Source organism: Homo sapiens, chromosome 12, assembly GCF_000001405.40.
Source record: "Homo sapiens chromosome 12, GRCh38.p14 Primary Assembly".
Taxonomy (NCBI): domain Eukaryota; kingdom Metazoa; phylum Chordata; class Mammalia; order Primates; family Hominidae; genus Homo; species Homo sapiens.
Genome location: NC_000012.12, coordinates 116,382,434 through 116,395,244, shown reverse-complemented (window position 1 = coordinate 116,395,244; position 12,811 = coordinate 116,382,434). Strand labels below are relative to the sequence as shown.

The 12,811-nt window shown below is 47.8% G+C and overlaps 1 annotated feature.

Moving 5' to 3' along the window:
• Positions 11,660 to 12,336: an enhancer, noted in NCBI's record as "H3K27ac-H3K4me1 hESC enhancer chr12:116820714-116821390 (GRCh37/hg19 assembly coordinates)". NCBI's record gives its function as "activates a minimal SCP1, AML or CMV promoter by ChIP-STARR-seq in naive H9 embryonic stem cells {active_cell/tissue: H9 hESC(naive)}" and the evidence as "EXISTENCE:reporter gene assay evidence [ECO:0000049][PMID:30033119]".

Sequence of the window (12,811 nt, the reverse complement as noted above, 5' to 3'; positions counted from 1 at the left end):
AGACAGAGATTAAAGAAATAATGGGAAAATGTTAGCATCTGTTAAATGTGGGTTCTGAGTAAATGGATGTCTATAGTTTCTTATGCTTGAAATCATTAATGGTTATAAGTTTTGAGGAGCATCAACCTGAATATTCCTTAGCTTAGGTGGGTTGAAGGGTGGGCTCCTAAGATATGTCCACAGGGGCTGGGCGCTGAGGCTCACGCCTGTAATCCCAGCACTTTGGGAGGCCGAGACGGGCGGATCACCTGAGGTCGGGAGTTTGAAACCAGCCTGGCCAACATAGTGAAACCCCATCTCTACTAAAAATACAAACATTAGCAGAGCGTGGTGGCACACTCCTGTAGTCCCAGCTACTAGGAAGGCTGAGGTAGGAGAATTGCTTGAACCTGGGAGGTGGAGGTTGCCGTGAGCCGTGAGCCAAGGTCACGCCACTGCAGTGGCAGTGCCTCAGGGACAGAGCGAGACTCCATCTCAAAAAAAAAAAAAAAAAGCCTTTGGAAGCACTTTTTTCCAATATGACCTTGAAATCATAATTAAATGAATGATCTCAAGGTGAGATTATCTTGGATTAGGGAGGGTCCTAAATTCAATGACAAGTGTCTCTTTCCTTTTTTTTTTTTTTTTTGTGCTTTTGAGGGTGCTAAATGAGATCTTTCCTTCTCGCTCGCTCTTTCTTATTTTTCGTTGTCTTCTTTTCTTTTTGACCTTTCAGATGGGGTCTTACTGTATTGCCCAGGCTCGTCTCAAACTCCTAGCCTCAAGTGCTCCTCCCAACTCAGCCTCTGCAGTAGCTGGGATTACAGGGCATGGGCCACTGTGCCTGGCTCAACAAATATCCTTCCAAGAGAAGACGAAGAGAGAAGACAATTACAAAAGGCCATGTGAAGACAGAAGCAGAGATGGGAGGGAGGCGGTCACAAGCCAAAGAATGCCCGCAGCCACCAGGAGCTGAAAGAGAAGGAAAGCTTCTCTCCCAGAGCCTCCAGAGGCAGTGTGGCCCTGCCAACACCTTGATCTCAGATTTCTGGCCTCCAGAATCGTGAGAGAAAAAATTTCTGTTGTTTTAATCTCCAAGCTTGTGACAATTTGTTACAGCAGCCACAGGAAACAAGCACACCGCCTTTCTGTTTTTTCCTATTCACCTCACTCCTTCCTTCTGCCAGGCACTGCCTGACCATCCCGGAAGTCCACAGCCCCACAACTTTCTTCTTGCTCAACAGAATCATTTTCCCCGCTGCAAGGAGAAAGCAGGGGTGCCCTTGGTGGCTGTATCTAGTGGAGGCCACATCAGGGGACCATTTTCACTTTTTTTTTTTTTTTTTTTTTTTGAGACAGTCTTGCTGTGTCGCTCAGGCTGTTGTGCAGTGGCACGACCTCGGCTTACTGCAACCTCCATCTCCAGGGATCAAGCAATTCTTGTGCCTCAGCCTCCTGAGTAGCTGGGATTGCAGGCATGCACCACCACACCCAGCTAATTTTTGTATTTTTAGTAGAGATGGGGTGTCACCATGTTGGCCAGTCCGGTCTCAAACTCCTGGGCTGGAGTGATCTGCCTGCCTCAGCCTCCCAAAGTGCTGGGATTACAGGCATGAGCCACCGCCCCTGGCCCCATTTTCACAATTTTTGCTTATGGATTTAGGAATCTCATGGCTAATCCCACGAGGACCCCTTAGCTCTTCTCCGGTTGCTTACTTACCTCCTCCTGCCCCTGCCAGTGCGCTCAGCCCCCATCTGCCGGGCTGCTTCCTGGCCGTGTTTCCCCAGTCTCTCGCCCACCCAGACACGGGCAGCAGGGTTCTGCTTCCACCTGCCAGCAGTATGAATAATGCATTATACATAAAACAATGCACAAATGCAATGAGAGAAAAAGAACATTCTCAGTACTTTTGCATATATCGTCTTCACAAAATAGTTACCGTTACTATTCTTGTCTTCAGATGAGGAAACTGATGCTCAGAGAAGCTAAATAACTTGCCCAAGGTCATACAGCCAGATGAGCTGGGTTTTGAACTGAGACCTGCTTAATCCCAGACATGCTGGGTTAGAATCTAGACTCAGCCACTTGCTAACTGTGTGAAACTGAACTTGTTACTTTTTTAAACAATTTTTTAAATTTTAATTTTATTTCTTTCTTTATTTTTTAGAGACAGGGTCTAGCTCTGTCACACAGGCTAGGGTGCAGTGATACAATCATAGCTCACAGCAGCCTCAAACTCCTGAGCTCAAGGGATCCTCCTGCCTCAACCTCCCAAGTTAGCTGGGACTACTGAACTTGTTTCTTCTTTTTTTTGAAACAGAGTCTTGCTCTCTTACCCAGGCTGGAGTGCAGTGGCTGGATCTCGGCTCACTGCAGTCTCCACCTCCTGGGTTCAAGCAATTCTCCTGCCTCAGCCTCTCTAGTAGCTGTGACTACAGGCATGCACCACCATGTCCAGCTAATTTTTGTATTTTTAGTAGAGACAGGGTTTCACCGTGTTGACCAGGCTGGTCTCAAACTCCTGACCTCAAGTGATCCACCCGCCTCGGCCTCCTAAAGTGCTGGGATTACAGGCATGAGCCACCATGCCCGGCCCTGAATTTGTTTCTTACCCTCTCTTCACCTCCATTTCTGAATCTATAAAAGAGAAATAATAAAATGCCAGTCTCAGAAGGTTGTTGTTTAAGGATTCCATGGGGTTCCTGTGTAAAGCCATCGCTTGGCACATAGTAAGTGCTCAATAAATGACAGCCAGTATTGTCAATGTCAGTGCTGGTTATAGCAAATTTGTATTCAGAGTACATCACGCTCAGCTCAGCACTCCACCAGGAGAGGGTTTTGTTTGTTTGGTTAGTTTTCTAAAACAATTGCTCATTTTTATTTTATTTTGAGCCAGCGTTCTCTCTCTGAGTGGACCTAGACGTGCATTCCGGGGCTGTTTCTATTTGCAGTCTGAAGTCAGGCCTGGGGCTTGTGGCTGTTTTTGCCATCTGGTCTGGGGCGAAAGGGCAAATCTGCAAAGTCTCTCTGTTGTGGCCAGCGAGGGAGTCCCATCCCCATGAAGTCTGTCTTTTGCAGCAAGCTTGATTCTTTGAAAAGTTGAAGATCTCCAGGCTCTGAAGGCTCAGTCAAAGGGAAAATGCCTTCTCCTCTGGCTTATTTGCTCAGGGTTTAAAAGGTATTTCTGGGCTTTGGCTAAGAGGAAATTTAGCTTTCGAGCAAATCCTTGTGCATTGGTTTTCTGTAAACATCTAAATGTGGTGTGAGCAGCTCGGAGCCCACTCTGCCTGGCTTTTCCCAGATTTTACAGCCAATTGGGATGATGTGAAGTCAGCGTGATATTTGTAGAGTGGCATCTGTTTGACAGGCAGGTTCCTGATGTTACTGCTAGGGTTGTCCCCCCAGATCCATACTGGAGATATGCAAAGCGAGCTGGAGTGAGTTGGGAGAGGATGAAGGACTGAGTCACGTGAATAAGACCTTCTTCCCATCATCATCCAGGAAGTGTCCTTGTGGGCAAAGGACCTCTGAGATGAGAGGTTCATTCAGTCACTTCCACAAATATTTACTGAGGACCTATGGTGTGCCAGGCCCTGCACCCAAAGCAAGGGAATAGACCTTCATGAAGCTTGAGTTCTGGTGGAGGCAAGCCCTTTCCCAAGGCAACTCGAGACCAAAATATGATTATGTAAAAAAAAAAACCACTTCTTATAGCTGCCACCTGTAGTCCCAGCTACTCAGGAGGCTAAGGTGGGAGGATTACTTGAGCCCGGGAGTTCAAGTCAGCAGTGAGCTAGGATTGCACCAATACACTTCTTAAAACATCTGTATGAGTAAAGGTAGCTAACTGCTGTAAAAACAACCCCATCTCAGTGAGTACCCCAGTAAAGGTTGAGGTCCAAACCACAGTCCAATACAGCTCAATTGGGAGGTTGGAAAGAGCTTTGCTCCATGCAGTCACTCAGGGATCCAGGCATCCTCCATTTGATAGTTTCATTGTCCTTCAAGATCTCAGGATCTTCCAAGGGACTCTCTGCTGTGTCTGGCCAGCAGATATAGGATCACAGGATTTTGTTTTTTTTAAGGCTCAACCTGGAAGTGACCTTCATCACTTACTCCCACATTCCATTAGTCAGCGCTCAGCAATTGCCGGGGCCCCTTTGTGTGTCTCAGAGCCTGAATATAAGATTTGGTGAACCCACAGCATTGTCTCTGTCACAGGATCTATTGCCTGGGACCATGTGTGCACCCTGGAGAGAGTGACCATGGTGCTCATGGTAAGTGTGGCTAACAAAAATGGCACACCCACATCCCAAGTGCCAGCTCTCTGCTCTCTCTGCTCACAGTGAAGACAGAGTGTCCTCTGAGCCCAGACTCCTGTCCCTGCACCCAGCTCTGCTCTGCAGTAATTGAGACTCCTTGGGCAACTTGTCTCCCTTCTCCAAATCTCAGTTTGCTCAGCTGGAAAATAGAGATGCTAATCACAGCACTCACGTCACAGGTGTTTTGTGTGACAAGTGAGTAAGATGGGAGAGAAGAAGCAAGTTCTAAGTCCAATGCCTGCCTTGTGATCAATACCTTATAAATATGGGTCATGATGCAATATTTTCAAGTCCAGACTCAGGGCTGGCTTCCCTCTGCCACTTGTGCACTGTTTAATGACTTGTGGCCAGGTCACCTTGACCTGCCCTAGCTTCAATCTCTGAATCTCTGAAATAAAGTACTCATTATCCCTGCCCTGCAGAGCAGTGTTAGGATCAAAGACAATAAATAAAGCAGGTAAAAGGCTTACCACGCAGCTTGACACGTAATACGTGCTCAATCAGGATTAGTTATTATTATTATTATATAAGCACTTTTACATATTACCTCATTTAATTCTCACATCTACTCTCTGAGACAGAAAACAACAGGTAGGGTTGCCCATTTGTGTATGTTCCAGAAACAATCACGTATTCTGGGAATGAATGAATGCAGGGAGGAATGAATGAATCACCACGATAATTTGTGTCTTCTGCGACAGTGGGTGCATAGTCTCTATTTCTCGGAGCAATGGTGATGTCTGCCAAAATAAATTAACTTTCCCACATCAATGACTCATTTGGCAGGAATAACAGCCTTGCAAACTGAATAGAGAATGAAGAAGGAGGACGCCTCAGGCAGGGGGAGAGAGAGGAGTTTGTAATGACTCAAGATACAAGAACCAGCTTCTTATTCATTCTCTTTCTCTCCCTAACCAAAAATGTAGGCCCTTATATACATATACAGTTTTTGAGACAGGGGCTCGCTGTCACCCAGGCTGGAGTGCAGTGGCACCATCTTGGCTTACTGCAACCTCCGCCTCCCAGGCTTAAGTGATCCTCCCACCTCAGCCTCCCCAGTAGCTGGGACTATAGACGTGAGCCACTGAGCCCAGCCAGCCTGATATACATATTTAACCTTTTAAACTGGAGAAGTGGAAGTTCCACGCTATTAAGTGGCTTTGGATATCAGAACCATAAAAAGAAGCTTACAGACAGCATCATGTAACCTTTGCTGGGTGGACAGGGGTCCAGGACAGGACAGGTGTCCAGGACATCATGTGACCTTTGCTGGGTGGACAGGGGGTCCAGGACAGGACATGGGTCCAGGACAGGACATGGGTCCAGGACAGGACAGGGGTCCAGGACATCATGTGACCTTTGCTAGGTGGACAGGGGTTCAGCGCTCACACCATGTGTGGCAGGGCCAGCGCTGGGCCCCAGGACACCTGACTTCCATCCAGTGCTCCTTCCTTATCCCACTGCTTCTGGATCGATGCAGGATCTTCTCAGACACTTCCGCCACCTGGCCATTCTCACACTCTGCTCAAGACTCCTTCCATGGCCGGGGAAACTTCAGGACAGAGCAAAGAAAGATCAAAGACTGAGACTGCAGATCCTCACGAGGAAGAATAAAGGAGTTGGGAGGAGATGGCTAAGATGGACTTAATTACCTACTTCTCATCTGCATGAGGGTTGTATGAGGAGGCAAGTTATCTGCCCTCTTAAACACTGCACAAATGATATTTACCAATTGATGAGTTTTAGGCTCTTCTGACGTTTGCTGAGTTCATGATTCATTCACAAGAGGGACTTTGAATCTACTTAAAAATACTCGTGGAGCTGAAAGAAGCAACAACTTAACGCTAGGTCCACACAGTTCAGGAAGAACCGCAGCTCAGGTGTGGGATGAATAAGGTTAATTTAACACCACACTTCATCCTTTTGAAAAGAGTGGCTCCATTTGTGTGTGTGTGTGTGTGTGTGTGTGTGTGTGTGTGGCGGGAGGGTGGAGGGTAGGAATGGCGTTTCATTCTTGGGATAAATGAAAGATTAATTCTAAAGTCTTATTTAAATAACTCTCGAAGAGGCGCTAGAGATGAAATTACTCTTAATTGGCCAACTTAGCACTAGCTCTTGAATGCTCAAGTGAGTGGAATGAGATTTCAGTCTGTTTAAAACTTTAACTTGTCATCTTCTTGTCTCACTCCCTCCTTTCCAGGCCAAGGACTTACTACTCTTCTATTGGAACCAACTCCAACAACCTTCTGCTTCTACTAATCAGACACAAGGCAGCATCTGGGGTGGGAGTAGGTTGGAAAGGAGTGAGCTTCTGTTTTATTTTTCCTTCTTCAGCAATCGCGAAGGTATATCCACGCAGTAGAGATGACATGACCTGGAATCGAATTCTGGCTCCACCACTGCCTAGCCATTGATCTCGGCCAAATCACTTAGCATTCCTAAGCCTCAGTCGCTTCTGTGTTAAAAGGGCTTATAATACCTACCACAAATGTTGTGATCAGTGGTGCTGGTCAATGTTTAATAACTAGTTCTCTGGAGGAAAACCCTGGTATATAGCATTTGCCCATTTCTATGGTGTAAATACTCCCACCAAAGTCAATCTCAAACTCCCAAGGGGAGGTCACTGAACACAGAGTTGGGAAGACAGGCACAGGAGCAGACACTGTAGAGAATTTTCACCAAACAGATATCATAATCTTAAGAGCATAGGTAATGGGAGAACATAGTAAATTAAGAAGTGAGGAGTTTTAGTGTTATTACTTTTATCTTTCAATTCAATGTATCTATTTAATTGTAAGTTTATATAATTTTTTATTTTTTTTCGAGACAGTCTCACTCTGTTGTCCAGGCTGGAGTGCAGTGGCACCATTTTGCTCACTGCAACCTCTGTCTCCCAGGTTCAAGCGATTCTCCTGCCTCAGCCTCCCGAGTAGCTGGGATTACAGACACACACCACCACACCCAGCTAATTTTTGTATTTTTTGTATTGACGGAGTTTCATCATGTTGGCCAGGCTGATCTCCAACTCCTGGCCTCCAGTGATCCGCCCACCTCGGCCTCCCAAAGTGCTGGGATTACAGGCGTGAGTCACCACGCCCAGCCCATACAATTTCTTTTCTTTTCTTTTCTTTTCCTCTTTTTTGAGACAGGGTCTTGCTCTGTCACCCAGGCTGGAGTGCAGTGGTGTGATCATGGCTCACTGCAACCTCAACTTCCCAGGCTGAAGTGATCCTCCCACCTCATGAGGAGCTGGAATTACAGGTGCATGCTACCACGCCTGGCTATCTTTTTAATTCTTTTGTAGAGACAAGGTCTCCCTATGTTACCCAGGCTGGTCTTGAACTCCTAGGCTGACGTGATCCTCCCAGCTTGGCCTCCCAAAGTGCTGGGATTACAGGAGTGAGCCACCACGCCCCACCAGTTCATATAATTTCTTTAAAATAATAGTTGTGCCTTCCTGTTCTCAAAAATCCAATACCCTAGGAGACATAGGGAGCCAGGTTTAGCGGTAGAGGGGATGAATTTGCAGGTAACTAAAGAACAGTATAGTTGATTGGGAGGTTCAGGGCCTGCAGTGTGCAGTGGAACTGACCTGTACTCGCCCTGCTTCCCCAAACGGGTGACCTTGGTCAAGCACTCCCATTTCTCTGCTTCAGTGTGCTCATTCATAAAATAATCATCTGCTCGTCGGGTTAATGCCAGTTCTAAATGAGATGATCTGGGGAAAACTTTTAGCACAGAGCCTGGCATATAGTAACAGCTCAATAAATGGTGGCAGCCCTCATTAGTGATGTGATAATTGTGCTAATGGGGAAGCGTACACATTGCATCTGCATTGGGAGCCTGGCCAAGGTACAGATTAAGGTGCTGGGTTCAGGCCAAGCTCGAGGAAGCAAACGAGGGCTGCAGTTTACGCCGGAAAATTAGGTGGGTGTTGACTTGGGCAGATGGCAGCCCAGCCCTTAAAAAAAAAAAAAAAAGTCCGGAAATAGGAACATTGGATGCATGCCTCTCTCTCTAGGGTGGGAACAAGGGACAGGAGAGCAAATCAATGGGCTTAAAAAGTCAAAGCAGGTCAAGTGGGCCGGGTGTGGTGGCTCATGCCTGTAATCCCAGCTCCTTGGGAGGCCAAGGTGAGCGAATCACCTGAGGTCAGGAGTTCAAGACCAGCCTGGCCAATATGGTGAAACCCCGTCTCCACTAAACATACAAAAATTAGCCAGGCGTGGTGGCACATGCCTGTAACCGCACCTACTTGGGAGGCTGAGGAAAGAGAATCACCTGAACCCGGGAGGCGGAGGCTTCAGTGAGCCAAGATTGTGCCACTGCGCTCCAACCTGGGCAATAGAGTGAGACTCCATCTCAAAAAATAAAATAAGGCTGGGTGCCATGGTTCATGCCTGTAATCCCAACGCTTGGGGAGGCTGAGGCGGGCAGATCACCTGAGGCCAGGAGTTCAAGACCAGCGTGGCCAACATGGTGAAATCCCATCTCTACTAAAAATACAAAAATTAGATGGGCATGGTGGCATGTACATGTAATCTCAGCTACTCAGGAGACTGAGGCACAAGAATCATTTGAACCCTGGAGGCGGAGTTTTCAGGGAGCTGAGATCCGGCCACTGCACTCCAGCCTGGGCAACAGATTGAGGCTCTGTCTCAATAAAATAAAATAAAATAAAATGAATAAAATAAAATAAAATAAACCCAGGTCAACTGCTCCAAGGAACAGTCTGCCTTCACCTGTCAGCATTTGTGGAGGCTAGTGAAGCACATGCTGTTGTTGGCGTGGAGAATCATGAACTGATGGTGGTGGCTGTATGAACCGCTTCGTGGGCAGTGGATCCGACCAGAGCTGAACTTTAGAAAAGATCTGTTGCTTGGATAAGGAACAGATTCGGTTGCTCAACCCAACCTGCCCTTATCGCCAATGACCCAGCTCAACGTTCTCTCTGGTTTAGAGGAAAACAAACAGGACGTTAGGAAGTAACCAGATCAGATGGTCAGAGGTGGATCTAGGGGGAGCCGGGACACTCTCTAACGCTCCTCCAGCAGGAGATGTCCTGGGCGGTGCCTAGAGGAATGTGATGGCTTCACACATGTGGAAGAGCCTAGCGAGTGAGGCTCCCTGCAGCTATGGATGTCCACTGCAGCCTCATGTCCTGGCCTCGCCCTCCCAGTATGAGCTTGGAATTTTCTTAAACAAGAAATTTCCAGTGTTGGCCAGGCGCAGTCCCAGCACCTTTGGAGGCTGAGGCGGGTGGGTCACCTGAGGTCAGGAGTTCGAGACCAGCCTGGCTAACATGGTGAAATTCTGTCTGTACTAAAAAATACAAAAATTAGCTGGGCCTGGTGGCGTGTGCCTGTAGTTCCAGCTACTTAGGAGGCGGAAGCAGGAGAATCGCTTGAACCTGGGAGGCAGACATTGCAGTGAGCCAAGATCACGCCACCGCACTCCAGCCTGGGCAACAGAGTGCCTCAAAAAAAAAAAAAAAAAAAAAAAGAAAAAGAAAAAGAAAAGAAAGAAATTACCAGTGTTGTTAAGTCTCATACACCGAACTGGCTACTCAACTTGGCTGGCCACCTTTGATCAGCTCCCAGATGCAGCCATTACTCACTTTGCAACCCACGAACTTCCTCTTTCTAAGCTGCCAAAAAAAAAAAAAAGATAATAATAAGCTAACATTACTGAGTGCCGGGTACTTTATGTGGACACTCTTCATTTAATCCCACAACCACCTATGAGGTCAGTTTTATTCTATAATCCCCATTTTATAGATGAGAAAACTGAGCTCAAGTAAAAGAATAGACCCATACATGGTCACCCAGCTATTAAGTGACTGAAGTCAGTATTCAAGCCCAGGTCTGTGTGACTCTGCACCTACCAGCTGCCAATGGACCCCAAATACCCTCTGTTCCTCTGATAAATTACCCCTGGGGTGGGGCCAGGAATAGGGCCAGGCAAACCAGGTGCAATTTTTAAGGAGGCGCTCATTCTCAGGTTCACGCAAGTCACGACCCTGAACATCATGCATGGCCCTGAGAACAAGTGCCTCCTTAAATTTTGCTCCCAGGCCGGCAGCCCCAGCAGTGCCTCTAGGTAAATACTCAGCCTCCCAGAGGGCAGGTGTAGTAGCTCACTGCCCACTGCAAGATCAGGGCAGCTCCCAGACAGGAAGAATGTTCTGGTCAGCTGTGACCAGAGGTCCTTTGCTTCTTTGTCTCATAACCACCTGGCTCTCCAGATTGAGGGGTGGGGGAGGGGTTGGGAGACACTCCAGTGGAATTCTCAGCAACCCTTCCCTGATGTGGACTCTAAGCCTAGGGGAAGATGTCTGAGACAGTGGGTCCCATCTCCCAGACCCCTTGCCACAGCTTCCTTGCCGGTCTGTTTGCCGCTTTCTGAGGAAGCCAACACTTGCCTTTATTCCTCTCTTTGACCACAGCTCTCCCCTGCAGAAATGTCCCTTCTCTGTGAACTCGGTGGTCCAGGGTCCAGGTGCTGGAATCACACAGACCTGGGCTGGAATCCTGGCTTCACTTCCAACCAACTGTGTGATTTTTAGGCAAATTTTCCCTCGCTGTGCCTTGGTTTTCCTATCTGTAAAATGGGATCATTGACACATGCTTTGCAAAGCATATTAGTTTCTTGTGGCTACTGTAACAAATTACCGCACACTGCATGGCTGAAAACAACAGAAATGTGTTACTCTCCCAGTTCTGGAGGCCAGAAGTCCAAAATCAAAATGTCACTTCCAGTATCCTTCCAGCTTCTGGTGGCTCCTGGAGTTCCTTAGCTCGCGGCTGCATCACTCCAATGTCGACCTCTATCCTCACAGTCTCTAGGTCCTTCTCTAGCTTTCTTTAGGACACTCACACTGGATTTAAGGCTCGCCTTGGTCTGGGCATGGTGGCTCATTCCTGTAATCCCAGCATTTTGGGAGGCTGAGGCCAGAGGATCGCTTGAGGCCAGGAGTTCAAGACCAGCCTGGCCAACATGGTGAAACCCCATCTCTACTAAAAATACAAAAATTAGCTGGGCGTGGTGGTGGGCACCTGTAATCCCAGCTACTCTGGAGGCTAAGGCAGGAGAATCACTTGAACCTGGTAAACGGAGGTTGCAGTGAGTCGAGATCACGCCACTGCACTCCAGCCTGGGTGACAGAGTGAGACTCTGTTTCAAAAAAAAAAAAAAAGAAAGAAAGAAGAAAGAAAAGAAAAGAAAAGAAAAGAAAAAGGCTCACCTTAACCCAGTATGATGTCATCTTCATTCTTACCTGAATGATATTTGCAAAGACCCTGTTTCCAAAAAAGGTCACATTCTGAGTTTCCAGGTGGACATGAATGGGAGACACCATTCAACCCGCTGCACAGAAATAAGGCTGGCCTAGGGCCCTCGGCAGCCATTCCCTCTGCCCTCTCCTACACCCTGCTTGGAGGCTTTTTTCTCCCAGGGGAAAGAGAAAGGTTGCTTCAGAGAGCAGCGTACTTGGAGCAGTGGCAAACTTCCAGTGCTTGTGAGCCAATTCCCCCTCCATCCAGTAGGCCCTTCCCTGGTTTCTGACTAAGTGTGAGGGAGGGAGGATGAATCGAGGCCAGATCCTCACTCATCTGAACTATACTTTCCACGGAAATAAACTTTCCCAAGGAGGCTGGCTGCCCCCTGCTATTCTTAGTCCAGAGCCTGAATCGACAGCAACGTTAATCATACAGGAAAACCATCGTCGTGGGACCCTGGCATGTGCTAAGTTGTGGCCACACCTTTGCACACCCAGGGTCTCATATGATGGTCACAGGTCAGTTTGCAGGTGAAGAGCCAAGGGTGGGAAGTGTCCATCAAGGAGCCCAAGGGACACGTTGCTTTCAAGGGTGCAGAAGGCTATGCCAGCTGCACTGCACCCCAGCACCCAGCACAGATCATCGAGGTAACACATGTTTTGTGCCTGCCTGACTGGGCTGGGTGTTTTTCCCACTCGATCCTCAGAGAGGCAGGAAGAAAGGAAGTCCTGACTCCAGGATCCTGCAGCTGGCTGCCTGCACCCAAAGCCTGCACTTTCCCGCTTCCCAGACCGGTCTCTGATCTCACAGTTCCCATCTTTCTGACCCTTCCCTATATGGGGGGCAGGTGCGGGGAGGAAGCTTTCCCAGGAGGAGCAGCAGGGCAGGTGGGATTTCTCCTTCATGTGGTCTTCATTCTGCAGAGAATGAGAAAGAGACTGGCTCTGGGGGGTATCAAAGTGTGTGAATGTGTGTGGCTGTGTGTGTGTGATCATGCGTTTATGCATATGTGACTGTGTGTGAGCATGAGTGTGTATGTGTGTCTGTATGTATGAGTTTGAGAAAGTGTGTGCGTGGCTGTGTGTATGAACAAGGGAGCATGTGGGTGTGTGTGTGTGGCTGTGAGTATATGCAAGTATCTGTAAGTGTGTGAACATGTGAGTGTGTACGCTAATGTGAGTATGTGCGTGTGTGAGAGTGTGTGTGTGTGTGTGTGTGTGGTTTTACAGGGG